The sequence below is a fragment of the Homo sapiens genome, chromosome 3 (genome assembly GCF_000001405.40).
Source record: "Homo sapiens chromosome 3, GRCh38.p14 Primary Assembly".
Taxonomy (NCBI): domain Eukaryota; kingdom Metazoa; phylum Chordata; class Mammalia; order Primates; family Hominidae; genus Homo; species Homo sapiens.
In genome coordinates, this window is record NC_000003.12 from 194,334,072 (window position 1) to 194,351,871 (window position 17,800).

The following is a 17,800-nucleotide window of genomic DNA, read 5'->3' on the forward strand; positions in this document are numbered from 1 at the left end:
TTTGACGGCACCGTCCAGTTTTCCAATATCCACTGTTAGCACTGAACAATTGTGTCAATTGCATTTCCAATCCTCCTAAACAATGCAATTTTGATATATAAACAGCAGTTTTTACGTTCTTCCAGAAACAGATCAACGGGAACAGGTAAAACAATTGGCCGGTGCTTGCCTACCCCGTCCGCACCCACACCCACAGTTCTCTCTAGAATAATACTAACAAAAATAATAATGCAAGATAACGATTTTGGAGAACGTACCATGTGTCATTGTTGTGGGTACTTTATATGGATGCACTTATTTTATCTTCACCAATAACACTATGAGGTGGGTGCTATGTGATAAAACTATGGTGAGGACACTGAGCCACAGACAGCTTAGTAATTTGCCGAGGGCTGCATGACTGGCAAGTAGCAGGACATCACTAAAGAAGGTACAACATTCAAAGCTTCCTGGAAGAGCGTCCTGCCTGCTGGAAGGAGGAGCTTTGGAATGTCTTAGCCATCCTTTACTATAAGAAAGCGAGGCAGGCCGGTGGCGGTGGCTCACGCCTGTAATCCCAGCACTTTGGGAGGCCAAGGCGGACGGATCACGTAATCAAGAGATCAAGACCATCCTGGCCAACATGTTGAAACCCTGTCTCTACTAAAAATACAAAAATTAGCTGGGCATGGTGGCACGTGCCTGTAGCCCCAGCTACTTGGGAGGCTGAGGCAGGAGAGTCGCTTGAACCCAGGAGGCAGAGGTTGCAGTGAGCCAAGATTGCACCACTGCACTCCAGCCTGGCAACAGAGGGAGACTCCATCTAAAAAAAAAAAAAAAAAAAAAAAAAAAAGCAAGGCAGAGCGCACCCCCAGCTGCTGTTTCTTCAAAAATGCAAGATTTATGAGAGCACTAATGCTGAAAAATTAAAAACATCGGCCGGGCGCGGTGGCTCATGCCTATAATCCCAGCACTTTGGGAGGCCGAGGCGGGCAGATTGCCTGAGGCCAGGAGTTCGTGACCAGCCTGGCCAACATAGCAAGAACCCATCTCTACTAAAAATACAAAAAAAAAATTAGCCGGGCGTGGTGGCGTGTCTGTAATCACAGCTACTCGGGAGGCTGAGGCAGGGGAACTGCTTGAACCAGGGAGGTAGAGGTTGCAGTGAGCCAAGATCGTGCCACTGCACTCCAGCCTGGGAGACAGAGTGAGACTCTATCTCAAAAAATAATAATAATAAAATACAATGAAAACATCAACAAGAAAGAAAAAAAATCCATGAAATATTTTTATACATGATGTTTGTCACTTGTTTCATTCATGAATTCATCCAGAGCAGACACCAGGTGGGTCTGAGGAGGCCAGCATTGCCCAGTGCAAATTACACTGAACCTAGCCCTGGACAGTGCCCGAGACAAAATTCTGCCTAAATGTTCAACCCTGGCCATGCGTTAGAATCGCTGGGGGAGATTTAAACAAAATGATATCTGGGTAACCCCAGTGTTAGGGAGGCAGGAGCCTAGAAGAGACAGAGTAAGATCGTCTGAAAATCAACTCCATCCCAAAGCTAGCAAGGCATATTCCTTGCCAATCATGACCCATGGTCCTAAGATGTTTACAGCTCAGGAAGCAGCTTGGGAATGGCTTGCAAGAACAAACCCCTACAACAACAGAGAGTCCAGGTGTCCCAGTACCCGCGCTGCGCCCAGGAGAAACTGAGATAAAACGAAGCCTCGGGAAGGGAAACCCCAGACGCTCGACTTTGTGACACAAAGGCCCCAGAGGGGAGGGTGGCTTTGCCTGCTCAGCACACATCATGGCTGCTGCTAAGGAGAAGGAAAAGGTTTGAGGTGTAGGGGCAGCCTGGGCCAGCTGAGTGGCAGCTTCATTCTCCCAGCAGCTGAGTGCAAGCTGCCCACTCACTAGAGCTGTTCTCCCTTGTTTTTTTATTTTTATTTTTATTTGTTTTGAGATGGAGTTTCGCTCTTGTTGCCCAGGCTGGAGTGCAGTCGTGCGATCTCGGCTCACGGCAGCCTCCACCTTCCAGGTTCAAGCGATTCTCCTGCGTCAGCCTCCCAAGTAGCTGGGACTACAGGCGCCCACCATCACGCCTGGCTAATTTTTGTATTTTTAGTAGAGACGGGGTTTCATCACCATGTCGGCCAAGCTGGTCTCAAACTCCTGACCTCAGGTGATCCACACACCTCAGCCTCTCAAGGTGCTGGGATTACAGGCGTGAGCCACCATGCCCGGCCTCTTACCACCTCAGCCACCCCTGCAACCCTCCTGGGCCGCCTCTTGCAGCTTCATCTCAGGGTTCGCTGTCCTCCCATGCCCTGGGCAGCCTCCCATGCACCCCTGTGTGGATGCCTCCTCTCTGGTAATGAGCCCAGCTCTTCTCTTGGGCTCAGCTCTTTTCAGCCCCAGGCTGATACCCCCTGCTCAGAGCCCCATGTCCTCCTGTTGACCACAGACACGTCTAAGCAGGCTCTGTCCCCTACTCCCCTTGATTCTCATCAGCGCATTGACCAGTCCAGGAGCTGGGCGTGTTCTTCACTCACTCTTACCCCTTCCTTCAGTCCTCAGGGCCAAGGAGTCCGTGAATGCTCAGGCTTCCAGCCTCTGAGCCTCCCTCTAGCCGCTCCTCCCCTCCTGCTCCCAGACGCTTTGTAGCCCCCGGCTGAGCCACTGCACAACCTGCTACCTGGTTTCCAGCTGTATTGTGGACTGGCCTGGGAGAAAGGCTCGGGCAGGGAGGGAGGAGGGAACCAGATGTACAGCAGGCCCCCAGGAGCTCCTGGCCACCGGGACAAATCAGCCACATGGGATGAAAACACAAGGCAGAAAGAGGCCAGCGCAGGCCAGTGCCGGGGAGTTCAGAGGAGGCGAAGCGGCAGGAAGCACCGGCCACGGGAAAGGCTGCATTGGATCTTGGGCCTTAAGGAGGGCTCCAAGTAGAGCAGGAAACTTGTGAAGAAGAGCCTGAGCTAAGGAATGGGGAAGGGCAAGGGCGAGGGGTCAGGGCTGTAGAGGGGCGACGAGGAGGAAGAGATAAGGCTGGAAGCCCAGATGAGCTGATTCTGCAGGGCCCTGGGGCAGAGTGAGGAGGGTGCATGTTGATGAAGGAGGCCCCAGGCAGTTATTGAAGGTCTTGCAGAAGAGGGACATGCTTCTGCCAGCGCTTCAGGCAGCTGGCCCAGCGAAATCTTATGAGAGCAAGAGGCAGGGAACAGTGAGAGCTGTTGCCTGGTTTGAGATGAGAGCCTAGAGGGCAAGGGATGCCAAGGGAAGAGAATCAAAAAGTTTCAGCAGGCCAGGCAAGGTGGCTCACGCCTGTGATGCCAGCACTTTGGGAGGCCGAGGCAGGTGGATCACAAGGTCAAGAGATCAAGACCATCCTGGCCGACATGGTGAAACCCTGTCTCTACTAAAATACAAAAATTAGCTGGGCGTGATGGTGCGTGCCTGTAGTCCCAGCTACTCGGGAGGCTGAGGCAGGAGAATCGCTTGAACCCAGGAGGCGGAGGTTGCAGTGAGCCGGGATCGCGCCACAGCACTCCGGCCGGGTGACAGAGCGAGGCTCCGTCTCCAAAGAAAAAAAAGTTTAGCAACTGAGCCGCACGTACACAGAGAACCTGAAAGACCTGAGTGTGAATCACAGAAATGCCAGCGAAAACAGCGTAGGTGTCATTCTACACTGATAGGCCTGCAAAAATTACAAAGACATCATGCCAAGTGTGGGTCAGGGTGAGGGCATCGGGGAACCTCCAGGTGCCACTGGCATAGCCCCCTGAGAACAAGCCAGCAGGTCTAAGTCTAAGGAAGGGTTTGGTGGGGGAGTCAAGCGGGTGGTGTTGGGAGATGTGAGAGGGGGAGCCTGGGCTGAGTCTCGGGTTTCTCTCCTGGGTGGCTGAAAGACAGTGAGGCCAGGAACCAAGGGCGGGGGCAGGTATGGGGGAAGGAAGGTGTGACATGCCCGCATTAGACTAGGAAACACAATGTCTTCCTCATTTCCTGTGGGGCATTTTATTTCTTATTTATTTTTTAGAGACGGGGTCTCACTATGTTGGCCAGGCTAGCCTTGAACTCCTGGCCTCTAGTGATCCTCCCACCCCAGCCTCCTGAGTAGCTGGGACTATAGGCGTACACCACTGAGCTTGGCTTGTGGGGCTACTTAAAAAAAAGAAAAAAGAAAAAAGAAACAGGCTTCCTGAGGCTCAAATCAATTACATTCTAAGGTGATGGAAGCTGATTCACAGATTCACCAAAGCAACAGACACCCAAATTCATTTGGTTTAAGAATAACCTTGCCCAGACCCTTCCGAGATTGGGGATCTTGGCCTTGGGCTGCTGGCTCCAGCCTGGATGTGTTGCCACTCTCTGGGAAAACGACCCCATGTCTAGCACATAGCAGGAGCTTCGGAAATCCCCATCGCCTGAATGCCTGTCTGAGCCACAGACACGTCCTGTCCGCTGGCAGGGATAAAGGGATAGGAAAATCCAGCAGACATTTCTCTCAATTAAATTTCCCCCTCAAAACATAACCCTGCATTAAATTACAACATCAGAATTTCTCTCTGCCAAATGATGTTGGGGAAAGAGCATGGCCAACAGCCAGCTCAGGCCAAGGAGAGATCAGTGAAGAAGCAGCTCCCAGTGTGCCCTGCTCCCCGGGGCACCTCGTGCCCCGTCTCCTGGTGATGTGTCTGGTCTGGCCCAGCAGTAACGTTTTCCATGGGTTCTGGACTAGAACTCAGCACACGCGGCTCCCACACCTCTTTTCTTTCTTTCTTTCTTTCTTTTTTTTTTTTTTTGAGACAGAGTTTCGCTCTTGTTGCCCAGGCTGGAGTGTAATGGTGTGATATCAGCTCACCACAACCTCTACCTCCCAGGTCCCGGGACAAGCAGTTCTCCTGCCTCAGCCTCCTGAGTAGCTGGGATTACAGGCACGTGCCACCACACCCAGCTAATTTTTTTTTGTATTTTTAGTAGAAACGGGGTTTCACCGTGTTGGCTAGGCTGGTCTCAAACTCCTGACCTCGTGATCTGCCCGCCTCAGCCTCCCAAAGTGCTAGGATTACAGGCGTGAGCCACCGCACCCGGCACCCACACCTCTTTTCTTCACATTCTTCAGCCTTTGGCAAATCACAGCTCCTCTGTGGGCCCCAGTTTCCTCCTCTGTGTAAGAAGGAGATTGCCTCTCAATGCTGGCTGAACCCTTCAGTCGCTTGGGGAGGCTTTTAAAAACCGGTAGTAACAAAAATCAAAACGCCGGTGCCTGGGCCCCGTTTTCTGAGATCCTGATTCAATTAGCCGGGTGTTGGTGGTGTGACCAGAAAAGGGTCTCAGTCCAGACCCCGAAAGAGGGTTCTCGGATCTCACGCGGGAAGGAGTTCAAGGCGAGTCGCTGAGTGCAGTGAAAAGAATTTGATTGAAAGCTACTCCCTTGCAGGGCAGGGCGCCCTCAGAAGGCAAGCAGAGGAATGCATTGCCTTTGTTTTAAGTTTTTCTTATGCAGGGGCCTTGTCTGTGAAGACTGAACTCAGCTGTGACTACATGTGGATGGGCTGACAGCATATGACAACATTTATCATTTTATTGATTGAAAGGAAATGATCCTTGACATTCAGCATATGTAAGCACATCAAAGCATAACTATAATTTTCCCGAAAGCATATATTGCTGTGAGTGCTGATGAAAAGAGTCGAACTCTGTAAAATATTTGAAGAGATTTATTCTGAGCCAAATATGAGTGGCCATGGCCCGTGACACAGACCTCAGGAGGGCCTGGGAACATGTGCCCAAGGTGGTCGAGGTACAGCTTGGTTTTATACATTTTAGGGAGGAATGAGGCATCAATCAAATACATTTAAGAAATACATTGGTTGAGTTCAGAAAGGCAGGACAACTCGAAGCAGCGGGGGTGGGTGCTTCCAGGCTGTAGGTAAATTTAAACATTTTCTGGTTGACAATTGGTTGAGCTTAGCTGAAGACCTGGGATCAATGGAAAGGAATGTTCAGGTTAAGATAAAGGATCGTGGAGGCCAAGTTTTATTGTGCAGGGGAAGCTCTCAGCAGACTTCAGAGAGAGAGAGAGCAGGTTGTAAACTGTTTCTTATCGACTTAAAAGGGGTGCCTGGCTCTTAGTTGATGATCTCCTGGACTGGAAAGAAAGGAAGGAAAACAAAGGGGAAAGGGGCTTCTTTATAGGATGTGGATTCTCCTCACAAGAGACTCTGCAGGGCAAGTTCAAGGTAGGGCAAGGAAATATATTTGGGGGTTAAATATTTTTGCCTCGTCTTGTAATGTTATGCCATAGTCAGATTAAAAATAAGTCATGATATACAGGGTCAAATAAAACCCATCTGATGAGAATTTATGATTTGTAAGGCGCGACTCCCTAGACCCCTTAGGTAGGAATTTGGGCAAGATAAAAAAATCAGAGCTTAGTCCTCGTGTGGAGGTGGGTGCCGGCCACAGGGTCTCCCACACGCCAGTCAGAACCCTGCCCCTGTGCTTTCTGGTCATCTCTGCTTCTGTCACATCCTTTTTTTCTCTATACCAATTTTAAATGAAATTCCAGGGAAATAAATGGAAACAGACACTGGGCTTTTGAGCCAGATGTCAGAAGGCAGTGGCCTCCACTTTGTATCACTGGGATGCAGTGAATAGACCTCAGGGTGTAGGTGAGAGCGGTTGGGTGTTACATAATGGGGAGGCATCAGGGCTGAGGATATTTTATTCTCCAGGCTGTGGTGCAGCTTTTGAGGGTGCTTTGCAAGGCATAAGGATGGCCTTGTTAGGCCGCACACTCCAGGAGAAGCGATGAAGGAAGAGGAGGAGGAGACCCTGGTTAGTGGAGCAGACCAGACTCCACCCCCTCACCTTGGGGATGTAACCCTGTCCCTTGCATGTGAAAAGCCAAGGCTTCGGAGACTCAGCTCCCCTCCGCCCCTACCTGTCGCCTGGTCAGGCCCCAGAGGCCCCCTTCCCCAGCTCCTGTATGCGCTGCTACTAGGGCCCTGCTGCCCGAGCCTCGATAGACACGGTGAGCCGCAGAGAACCGCAGCTCGACCTCAGGTCCCACTCCTGACTAGCATTGTACTGCAGTCCCAGGGAGCCCTGCTGAGGAGAGAGCTGGACGTTCAGCCAGCGACACTGGGCCTGGTCACAGGCGAGCACCACGGTGCCCTCGGGGTTGCTGTAGGTGCACTGGCTCCGGGCTGCCCTTTCCTGCACAGCCAGATCCCAGCTGCCCCCTGCCTTGCTTTCGTCCGGCCACGTGACCTGGAAGCCCAAGTGGTCCCGGGTGACGGGACACACCAGCTGCTTCTCATTCAAGGCGGGCACCACCTGGCCTTTGAGGTAGGCAGGGCCAGCGCAGTAGGTCTGGATGTTCAGGAGCCGATCGGTGTACTGCTGCAGCCAGTTGAAGAGGTAGGCCAGGTGGCAGTCGCACTGCCAGGGGTTACCGTGCAGGGCCAGGTTGAACAGGTTGTAGTTGGTGTCGAAGATGCCCTCCGGAAGTGTGGTCAGCTGGTTCTTGGAGAGGCTGAGCAGCTCCAGCTTGGACAGGTTCTGGAAGAGGGCTGGGTGCAGCGCCGTAAGGTTGTTGCTGCCCAGGTAGAGTTTGACCAACTCCTCCAGGTCTCTGAAGATGCCAGCTGGGAGGTGGGTAATGGCATTGTATGAGAGCATGAGGGAACGCAGGTTGGACAGGTGGGCAAAGGTGCCCTCAGCGACAGTCTCCAGCTGGTTATGGGTCAGAGACAGGCCAACCAGGCACGGGGTGTGGGCAAAGAGGCCGGCAGGCAGGACCCGAAGCATGTTCCACTGCAAGCTCAGAAAGGTCAGATTACCCAGGGAGGCAAAGATGGAGAGCGGCAGGTGCGTGATGGCGTTGCGTTGCAGCCACAGCCTCTCTAGGCAGAAGAGCTGGGAGAACACCTGAGGGGGCAGCTCCGAGATGTTGTTGCTGTCCAGGAAGAGCTCCTGCAGGCTGCCCAGTTTGCCAAACACACCCTGGGGGAGACCAGAGAGCGCGTTGTTGCTCAGCTTCAGGGTCTGCAGGCTGGTGAGTGGGTGGAACAGCTCCTCCGGGAGCTGGGCCAGGAGGTTCTGGGCCAGGTTGAGTGTCTTCAGATGGGTCAGAGGCTGGAAGAGCCTCCTGGGCAGGGCCTGGAGCTGGTTCCCCTGCAGGTGGAGGGACTCCAGGGCAGCCAGGTGCTGGAAAAGACCCTCGGGCAGAGCCTCCAGCATGTTGAAGTTGAGGGTGAGCTTGCCCAGCGAGGTCAGGTTGGAGAAGATGTTGGTGCTGAGGTTCAAGAAGCTACTGCCTGTGACCTCCAGGTCCTCCAGCCTGGGCAGCCCCCCGAAGGCATCCGGCCTAAACTGGCAGAGCTGAGTGTTGAGGAAGACCACCTTGGTCAAGTTGGGGTTACTGCCAAAAGCTCTGGTTTCCAATGTGGTGAACGAGGTCTCCACAAAGATGATGTTTTTCGTATATGGCGGGATGTCCAGTGGGACGGTGGCAAGCTCCTCATCTGAGCAGAACACCTCCTGGACGAAGCAGTCACAACCCATGGGACAGGGCTGGGCAGGCCTGGCCAGGAGCAGGAGGGAGGTCCAGAGCAGCCAGGCTCCAGGGAGCATCTTCTAGATTCGAGGAGGGAGAGAGAACAGGAAGAGAAACTTGATCATCACACAGCATGGCACAGTGACCAGGGCACAGTGACCAGGGCATAGTGACCAGAGCACTGGACAGCGAGCTCCAACATGCGGCAGGACCAAGACCCAGGGCTTTGGGGCTTTCTGTATTCTTCTCAGACTGGGGAAAGAAGTGGAAAGGAGACAAAAAGGCATGGAAGAGAGACACAAAAGGAGACCATGGGCATTGTGGAATTTTTAAAGATAACATATAGGATATGGACAGATGATTCCTGAGTTGGAAGCTCCTAGACCGTAACTCTTCCTGAGTTTCCAAATCTCAGCACACGTCAGAGCCAAATGATGCAGAGATCCTGGCACCTGCTCTTTGCACAGTTGGTGGAGGGGAAGTGCAGCCACAGAGATGAGATGGCTCCTCAAAACTGCTGCTGAAATGCCCTCCTCCTGCCCACCTCTGCCCATCTCTGCCCACTCCTCCACGGCGAGACCCGAGGAGATTTCCAACGTCATGTGGACAGAAGGACCCCAGACCTGGGGATTCTACAGAACAGTAGATTTCTTTAAAATTCTCTAAAATTCTTTAGATTTTCTTTACTGTTTTTTAAAAAATTAAAAAACAGATTTTCTAGCATGTACTCACAGGTCACAAATTGGTGATGCACCTTACAAATATGTTTTATTTATTTCTCAGTGACATTGTTCATATATGAATCAGTAGCCAACATGTAAAAATTGGAAAACGTCACAATAAAGGTCTAGGTTTCAGAGTGATCTGGGGACAGTGGGCCCGCATTGCCACATAGCAAGACCAGCTGGGGCATCGTGGCCCCTGCCCTGTTAGAGGGTGTGTGCCCTCCAGGCCGCCACTGTTCCCATGCAGAGCACTTATTCACATGCCTTGCAGTGGTCCTAATTCCATGAGTTCAAATCTGAGGTCCATTGCTTTCTAGCTACGTGACCTTGGGCTTATTGCTTAATCCATCTGTGCTTCAGTTTCCTTATCTGTACAATGGAGATTAGAATAGTCCCTACCACATAAGGGTAATTGTTAGGGATTAAGTGAGTATATATAGGTAACAGTTTTACATCAGGATCTGGCATAGAGTGAGTAATTAATCAACCACATTAACCATTGTTAAAGGTTGCAAGCTACCTCATTACAGAAAAGGTTATTTGAACACCAAAAAATAAAAAAATAAAAACAAAATGCTCTTTAGACGGAATACACTTGAATTTACCAAAAATTTAAAAAAGAAAGAAGCTCTTTCACAACATAATCCTAATTTTTCTTAATCAACTTCTTCTCAGTAAAAGGGGTCCGCGAATCGGGTTCTGCAGTTGCAGAATCTGGGTCCCTAGCGCTCCTCGCTGGCTGTCTCTCTGCTGCCCTCTGCTGGTGCCTCCTCCACCTGGAGATTCCGCTTCTGGCTGAAGGTCTCCCATTAAACTCATGGGTTTAGGACTCAGTGCTTATTAGGGGAGCCCCCTTGACTCTCCCGCTCAGTCACTCAGTGACTCTCAGTCCTTCCAGGAATGTTCTGCCTCATCATTAGAGAAGGGACAACTTCTCCCTGAGAAAATGCACACCTTCCTTTAGGCTGCTCTAAGGCATGCATAGCTAAGTGAGCTTGGGGAGGCGGTAAGGAAAATCTCTACCAGTAATAACCGCTGGCCTGGGATTAGAATCTGACTCCTGCGGCCAGGCGCAGTGGCTCACGCCTGTAATCCCAGCACTTTGAAAGGCCAAGGCAGGTGGATCCTGAGGTCAGGAGTTCAAGATTAGCCTGGCCAAGATGGTGAAACCTGTCTCTACTAAAACCTACAAAAATTAGCCAGGTGCGGTGGTGCACATCTGTAATCCCAGCTACTCGGGAGGCTGAGGCAGGAGAATCGCTTGAACCCGGGTGGCAGAGGTTGCAGTAAGCCGAGATCGTGCCACTGCACTCCAGCCTGGGTGACAGAGTGAGACGTCCATCTCAAAAATAAATAAATTAATTAAAATAAAATAAATAGAATCTGACTCCCGCAATCACCTCTTCCAGGAAAAGGAAAATGTCCCTGCCACTTAGGACATGTGAGGGGAAGGAACAAGCCTCAGGCAAACGTGTGCCTCCTGGCTCTGTGTCCCTAGACCCCAGCTACAGAGTTAGCATGAGACTAGGAACAGAAAGCAGTGGGCCTGGCTGAAGAGGCATGGGGTAGCCACTGTCCCCCAACACACACCACACACACACACAGCTGCCACTAGCACCTGGCCTGCCCCTGAGGCACCTACACAAAACCCCTAGGGGTCCTGAAAGAAGCCACCCCTGACCCTAGGAAGAAGGACCTGGAGGTACATGTCTCCACCCTAACACTCAGCACAGGTGCCGAAATGATGGGTTTTCATGGCAGTCTTTTCTGTGTACTCATCTCTCTATGCCCAGAGCAGCAGTGACTTCCTTTGGGCTCAGGCAGGTTTTGTTGAATGGAGCTCTCCAAGGCTGGGAAGAGCAGTTTGGGAGGCAGAGCCACCCCCCTGGGATGGGCAAACCCAGAACAAATGACCCCCAGCCAGGCTGCCAGAGCTGCCTCGATTCCTCCAGAGAGCAAGAGGGGAGCAGTTTTGTTTAATTTTATTATTTTTTGAGACAGAACTTCACTGTGTTATCCAAGCTGGAGTGCAGTGGCACGATCATAGCTCACTGCAGCCTCAATCTCCCGGGTGTAAGTGATCCTCCTGCCTCAGCCTCCAGAGTGGCTGGGACTATAGGCATACACCACTGTGCCCGGCAAATTCTTATTTTTACCATGCCATAATATGATCATTATGCCAGTCCCTCTTCCTTGCTAGCCCCATTGGTCATTGTTTCTCAAAGGCTATTTCCAGAAAGTACTCCCCTGGAGTGATGGACCAGACAACGCTGGGGCCTGTGGGTCCCGAGACCAGCTGGCCTCCTCCCAGGGAGAGTGAGGCAAGGTCCCGGGGTCTTCACAGCAGGGCTTGGCTTGTGGAGCCCAGATCTCCTGGTTTTGTTCATCCCTCCCGCCAGGAAAACAGGGCCAAAGCCGGAGTTGCACCATGGAATGCTCGAGCCCACTGGGGTGAGGATACCTCTCTGCGGAGCGAGCTGAGCTGCTCCCTGGCTTCCCTGGGTCTGTGCCTCTAACTTTTCATCCGTTGTCTTTGGAAATAATGTGCTTTACACATTTCCAACAAAGGAAGGAGCTCTAGGATTCAAGCCTTGAATCAAAGCCATGGCACTGGTGGCACAGAAAGTCTAGTACAGGCAAATCAGCTAAGGCTCGGGAGATGCAGGCAGAGGGAGAGATATCTCCCTGATGTGGGGGTTTGGCTGAGGGGTTAGTTCCCACCTGCCAGTTCCCAAAGCTCCCGCACATACATCTTGATCCTCAGCGCAAACCTAGAAGTGCCCAGGGCAGGCAGACTGGGGCTCCCGGAGCTACAGTGACTGGCCCAAGGGAACACAACACAGAAGCGAGGGGCCAGGGCCAGTCCTGACAGCCCGGGCTCTGCAGGGAAGATGGACCCGGGGAGGCAGCCCACGGAGGCCGGGGTCCTGGGTACCCAGAGCATGGTTTAAAATGGGGGCACAGCCTCCAGACGGACATGTGCCCTTGGCACCCCTTGTGGGTGGTATCACTGGGGGAGGAGGGCCAGAACAGGGCCCTCTAAAGTTCAGGGCAAGACCCCTCTTGCCTGGGTCTACTGGGGCAGGGAGCAGGGAGGCAGGGATGGTTCTCACAGTGAGGGCGCAGAACACTGACAATTTCCAGACGGTCCACTCTCAGCCCGAGCCCCATCCTCACCTCACTCGGGAGTGGCTACGAGTCAGACAGCCTGGGTTCAAATCCTAACTCCCCTCCAGCTTAGCTCTGTGGCTTTGACTGCATTGCTTAACCTCTCTGTGTTTTGCTTTCCTCCTCTTCCAAACAATGAGCACACTACTACCTTCCTGATGAGGATGTTATGAGGATGGAATGAGAAAACGCATGGAAAGCTCTAAGCTCAGGGCCTGGCACATGGCAAATGCGTGGCAACGTTAGTGACCCTGATCTTCCGAGCAGTGCAGCCCCAGCTCTGTGCTGAAGCAGTCATGGGTTAGCTAGGGAGAAACCCATGAGATCATCCAACCACCCCACTGTGAGCCAATGAGACGCCTCTCCACAGCACTCCTTCTAGCTCTTTCCTCCAGCCAAGGGAAAGAGCTAGAAGGTTTAGGGGAGCAGAGATTCTGAGGGCTCTGACTGGGAGCTCTGGCCTTGGCCCCTTCCCCAGCCTGGCCTCAAGAAAGCAGGTCACTGGGGAGCTCTGGAGATGGACGCGCCCCTCCCTGGGAACTGGGGAGGCTGGCCCCCAGGGCCACAGTGGGGTGGCAGCCAGAGGTTTTCTGCTCCTCATCTGGGAATAAGACCATCAAATGCCCACAAATATGTTCCACACTTTCGGCAAGCCAAGGAAGTCTGGCTTTTTAAATGGGGTTTTTTTTTTTTGAGGGATAGGGAAGGTTTGGCTGGGTGCAAATGAGCTCCTTCCTCTCCTCACATTGCTTATGGGAGGGTACGTTTCTGTGCATGCCTCAAGCCAGTCTGTCATCCACCACAGAGCTAAGCCTCACTTCTTCCAGAGGGTGATGGGACCTAGAATGGGGCCTAGAACCCTGGCCCCAGACACCCAGGGACTGCCACCCGACGCTGGCTCCATGGATGTCTGCCTCACCAACGGGCCTGGATTTGGCCATTTGGGCTCCAGCTCAGCTGGAAGCACAAAGAGGGGCTTCTGAGACTTATCCAGAGTCCCTGGCTGCTCCCCAAGCCTGGTCCCCTCTCTTCTCAATCCAGCAACGTAAGTCCAGTGGCTGAGACGGTCAGGTTTGCACTGGGTTCTAGCCTCTGCTCCTGCCTTGGCCAGCCCACCCCACCCTCTGCCCAGTTCAGCCCACCCCATCCGCTGCCCAGTTCAGCCCACCCCACCCTCTGCCCAGTTCAGCCCACCCCATCTGCTGCCCTGGCCAGCCCACCCCACCCTCTGCCCAGTTCAGCCCACCCCACCCTCTGCCCAGTTCAGCCCACCCCATCCGCTGCCCAGTTCAGCCCACCCCATCCTCTGCCCAGTTCAGCCCACACCACCCACTGCCCAGTTCATCCCACCCCATCCGCTGCCCAGTTCAGCCCACCCCATCCTCTGCCCAGTTCAGCCCACACCACCCGCTGCCCAGTTCAGCCCACCACCCCCGCCCAGTTCAGCCCACCCCATCCTCTGCCTAGTTCAGCCCACCCCATCCGCTGCCCAGTTCAGCCCACCCCACCCTCTGCCCAGTTCAGCCCACCCCATCCGCTGCCCAGTTCAGCCCACCCCATCCTCTGCCCAGTTCAGCCCACACCACCCACTGCCCAGTTCATCCCACCCCATCCGCTGCCCAGTTCAGCCCACCCCATCCTCTGCCCAGTTCAGCCCACACCACCCGCTGCCCAGTTCAGCCCACCACCCCCACCCAGTTCAGCCCACCCCATCCTCTGCCTAGTTCAGCCCACCCCATCCGCTGCCCAGTTCAGCCCACCCCACCCTCTGCCCAGTTCATCCCACCCCATCCGCTGCCCAGTTCAGCCCACCCCATCCTCTGCCCAGTTGTGTCCCAGGGAGTGAAGCCACCTCTCAGAGTCCCAGTCTGCGACTGTAAACCAAGAACGACCATGATAACAATAATCATCATAATACCTCAGTCCCGGCATGGTTAGGGCTATTGTGACTCTCAAATGAGAGAACAGGCATTGGGCCGCAGCAAGAAAATAGAAACAACCTAAATGTCCAACATGAGGGATTGGTTACATGAATCATGCTACTCGGATGTAATGGAAACCCTCTCTGCTATGTTTAAAATTATATTACAGGCTGGGTTCAGTGGCTCATGCCTGTCATCCCAGCACTTTGGGCGGCAGAGGCAGGAGGATTGCTTGAGGCCAGGAGTTTGAAATCAGCCTGGGCAACATGGTAACATCTCATCTCTTCAAAAAATTATAAAAATTACCCAAGCATAGTGGTGCATGCTTGTAGTCTCAACTACTCGAGAGGCTGAGGTGGGAGGACGGCTTGAGACTGGGAGGTCGAGGCTGCAATGAGTGGGTGATTGCTCTACTGCACTCCAGCGTGAGAAGGGGGAGACCTTGTCTCAAAAAAATAGAATAAAAGATAAAATTTTAAACAAAAAGAAAATTTATTATAGATGTGTATTTATGGACAAGATGTTTGCAATATCTTAAGTGAAATATATGAAGTCTCAGAATGCTGCTTTTCCATTTTTAAGGTGTATTTGTACACAGAAAACATAATAGAAGCTTATGTACAAAATATTTGTGGTGGGGTCTGGCACTGTGGCTCACACCTGTAATCCCAGCACTTTGGGAGGCTGAGGCGGGAGCATCACCTGAGATCAAGAGTTCAAGACCAGCCTGGCCAACATGATGAAACCCCGTCTCTACCAAAAATACAAAAATTAGCTGGGCGTGGTGGTGTGCGCCTGTAATCCCAGCTACTCGGGAGGCTGAGGCAGGAGAATCGCTAGAACCCGGGAGGCGGAGGTTGCAGTGAGCCGAGATCGCACTATTGCACTCCAGCCTGGGCAACAAGAGAGAAACTCCATCTCAAAAGAAAAAAATTTGTAGTCATTACCTCTGAAAAATTGAATTGTGGATGATTTTAATTTTTTCCTTCTGCTTAAAAATATATGTTCCACATTTTTAAGTAAGAAACATATCACTTTTGCAGTAAGGTTGAAACCTATTTTATTCTAAATATTGAGATAAACATGTAAAATGCACAGCACAGTTCCACACACACAGTAGGGGCTTACTTGACTCTTTCCTTCCTGGCAGTGATGTTGCAAAGGCCCGAGGGAGCTTGTCTATCCTCTGTGTTAGCTTCTGGAAGAGAAGACAGCTGACAGGTTGAACTAAGAGGCCGTTGTGAACTGGGCACTATGCGACCCTCCCAATTTATACCCACCCTCCCAGTCCAGTGCAAGTCACACTTCCCCCATGAAGCCTTCCTGACTACCCTCTTCTTTTTTTTTTTTTTTTTTTTTTTTTTTTTTTTTTTTTTTTGAGACAGAGTTTCACTCTTGTTTCCCAGGCTGGAGTGCAGTGACGCCATCTCTGCTCACTGCAACCTCTGCCTCCCGGGTTCAAGCGATTCTCCTGCCTCAGCCTCCCGAGTAGTTGGGATTACAGGCGCCTGCCACCACATCTGGCTAATTTTTGTATTTTTAGTAGAGATGGGGTTTCACTGTGTTGGCCAGGCTGGTCTCGAACTCCTGACCTCAGGTGATCCGCCTGCCTCGGCCTCCCAAAGTGCTGGGATTACAGGCGTGAGCCACCGCGCTCGGCCCTTTCTTGGGTCCTCGGATCCCTCTTGTACTGTGTTGAATGTTTGGGCTCTTCCGCTCTGTTTTCTAGTCAGTTGCACCCACCCGACTGAGCCCGTGGTACTGCAGTCTTGCTGTGGTGTCTCTGCAAGCAGCTCTGCACCCCAGCACCTGGCTCGGGGCCAGGCACTGAGAAGGCAGTCAGGCCCTGTGTGCTGAATTGAAGGAATGTGTTTGTGGCTTTCAGTGACTTCGCATCTCAGGCCTTACTCTCATCCTGCTTAGTAGCAGGGGAAAGCACTTTAGCTCCGCCAGTGCCCCCAGCTGGGATCAGATTCTGACGCCATCACCTACTAGCGGTGTGGGCTTGTGCAAATCACTCCAACTCTCTAAGCCTCAGGTTTTCCAGACTTAATTATCACCTCTGCCCTCAGAGTTCAAATTAGCACTCCATTGGATGATAAATAGGCTAAATAAGATAGTAAATAGAAAGCCCTTAACACAGCGCCTGGCACATACTGAATGTTCAATAAAAGGTGGCCCCCTGCAGGTTTATTTCACCACAAACTTTATTATATGAGCCAGCACGCTTCTGGGAAGGAAACCAGGAGCTAGTCATCCTTGGGCCTGAGCTGGGTGCTGTGGCATGCGCTTGTAATCCCAGCTACTCAGCAGGCTGAGTGGGAGGATCGCTTGAAGCCAGGAGTTCAAGACCAGCCTGAGCAACATAACAAGACCCCCATCTCAAAAAACAATAATTATATTAATAAATAATTAATAATATTTAGTATTAATATAGGATTAATAAGTAATTAGTAATACTATTTATTATTATTATGCCAAGATGACAAGTATAAACTAGGCAGAACCAGGCCAACCTGGACATCTGGTCACCCTGCTTATCCTCTACTCACTACCAGCCTTGTAGGCCAGGACTGGCAGATCTTCATCTCACAAACCCCCGCCCCACCTTCCTCCTGCCTCTTCCCAGCAGCGCCCTAGCTGAGCACCTCAGGGACTTCTCCTCCCGGGGCAGGGGCCCCCCAGAACCGCAGCCTGCCTGGAGCTGCGGAATGCTCTGAAACGGGGGAGATCGCAAGTTCCCGTTCCTGCCCCCACGTCCCTGCAGACCCTGGAGCCCTTCAGCGACCCCGGGAGCCTACCGTGAGGGCCGAGCGGGTGGCGCCGGGCTGCCCTGTCTTCCTCAGGAGCAGAGAGGAGTCTGGTGTGGCCTGTGGTCAGCTCAATCCAGCCCCAGCGCTGATCAAAGTTCCAGGCAGTGGTTCCTCCCCTCACGTGGCCCCAGCGTCCCAGAATGTCACCAGGGTCACAGGACGGGAGAGGGCCTTGGCAAGGCCTCTGAAGATTACAAAATGACCCTGAACTCCTCCCATGTACAGAGCCCTGCCGGGGCCAAAATCCCACCGAGGTTGCAGGGTTGGCACCTTCAGGACCCCGAGGACACTCAGAAAGCTCTAGAGATTCCCGCAGGCGGCTGGGTTGGTGAGGCCTGGGATGGGGTCCACGCTCACACCCATACCTGTGAGCAGAGGCAGAGGGACTGGGAGCCTGCCTTCAGCCTCAGGCCCCTGCTGGGCTCTCAGCGCCCGGAGGCATTTCAAGAGGGCTGTGGATTTGTTGTTTTGTCTTGTTGTGTTTGTTTGCTTGTTTAATGAATGAACTTTCTAAACCCTTCCTGAATTAGAAGGGGGAAAAGCTATAGGGAGATGAATTGGGGCCCAATATGGAGAGGAGCGCTCACACACTCAGGGCTGGCCGAGGACGAAAGATGC

At 52.5% G+C, this 17,800-nt stretch overlaps 1 protein-coding gene across 3 annotated transcripts, besides 3 other annotated features; it reads right to left on the reverse strand.

Annotated features, from left to right (window-relative positions):
• Nucleotides 2,562-3,442: an enhancer, noted in NCBI's record as "H3K4me1 hESC enhancer chr3:194057362-194058242 (GRCh37/hg19 assembly coordinates)". NCBI's record gives its function as "activates a minimal SCP1, AML or CMV promoter by ChIP-STARR-seq in naive H9 embryonic stem cells {active_cell/tissue: H9 hESC(naive)}" and the evidence as "EXISTENCE:reporter gene assay evidence [ECO:0000049][PMID:30033119]".
• Nucleotides 4,368-5,034: an enhancer, noted in NCBI's record as "H3K27ac-H3K4me1 hESC enhancer chr3:194059168-194059834 (GRCh37/hg19 assembly coordinates)". NCBI's record gives its function as "activates a minimal SCP1, AML or CMV promoter by ChIP-STARR-seq in primed H9 embryonic stem cells {active_cell/tissue: H9 hESC(primed)}" and the evidence as "EXISTENCE:reporter gene assay evidence [ECO:0000049][PMID:30033119]".
• On the reverse strand, nucleotides 5,697-17,257 carry CPN2 (carboxypeptidase N subunit 2). 3 transcript variants are annotated; one of them, XM_005269280.5, is made up of 3 exons: nucleotides 17,171-17,257; nucleotides 15,498-15,567; nucleotides 5,697-8,634 (listed from the first exon to the last, which is right to left on the reverse strand). In XM_005269280.5, exon 3 carries the CDS (start codon nucleotides 8,629-8,631, stop codon nucleotides 6,994-6,996), a length of 1,638 nt encoding a protein of 545 aa, XP_005269337.1. In that variant the 5' UTR covers nucleotides 8,632-8,634; nucleotides 15,498-15,567; nucleotides 17,171-17,257; the 3' UTR covers nucleotides 5,697-6,993. The 3 variants fall into 3 exon arrangements, with proteins under 3 accessions (XP_005269337.1, NP_001278917.1, NP_001073982.3); NM_001291988.2 differs by lacking the exon at nucleotides 15,498-15,567 and having other exon boundaries at nucleotides 5,697-8,631; NM_001080513.4 differs by lacking the exon at nucleotides 15,498-15,567.
• Nucleotides 16,733-17,582: an enhancer, noted in NCBI's record as "H3K4me1 hESC enhancer chr3:194071533-194072382 (GRCh37/hg19 assembly coordinates)". NCBI's record gives its function as "activates a minimal SCP1, AML or CMV promoter by ChIP-STARR-seq in primed H9 embryonic stem cells {active_cell/tissue: H9 hESC(primed)}" and the evidence as "EXISTENCE:reporter gene assay evidence [ECO:0000049][PMID:30033119]".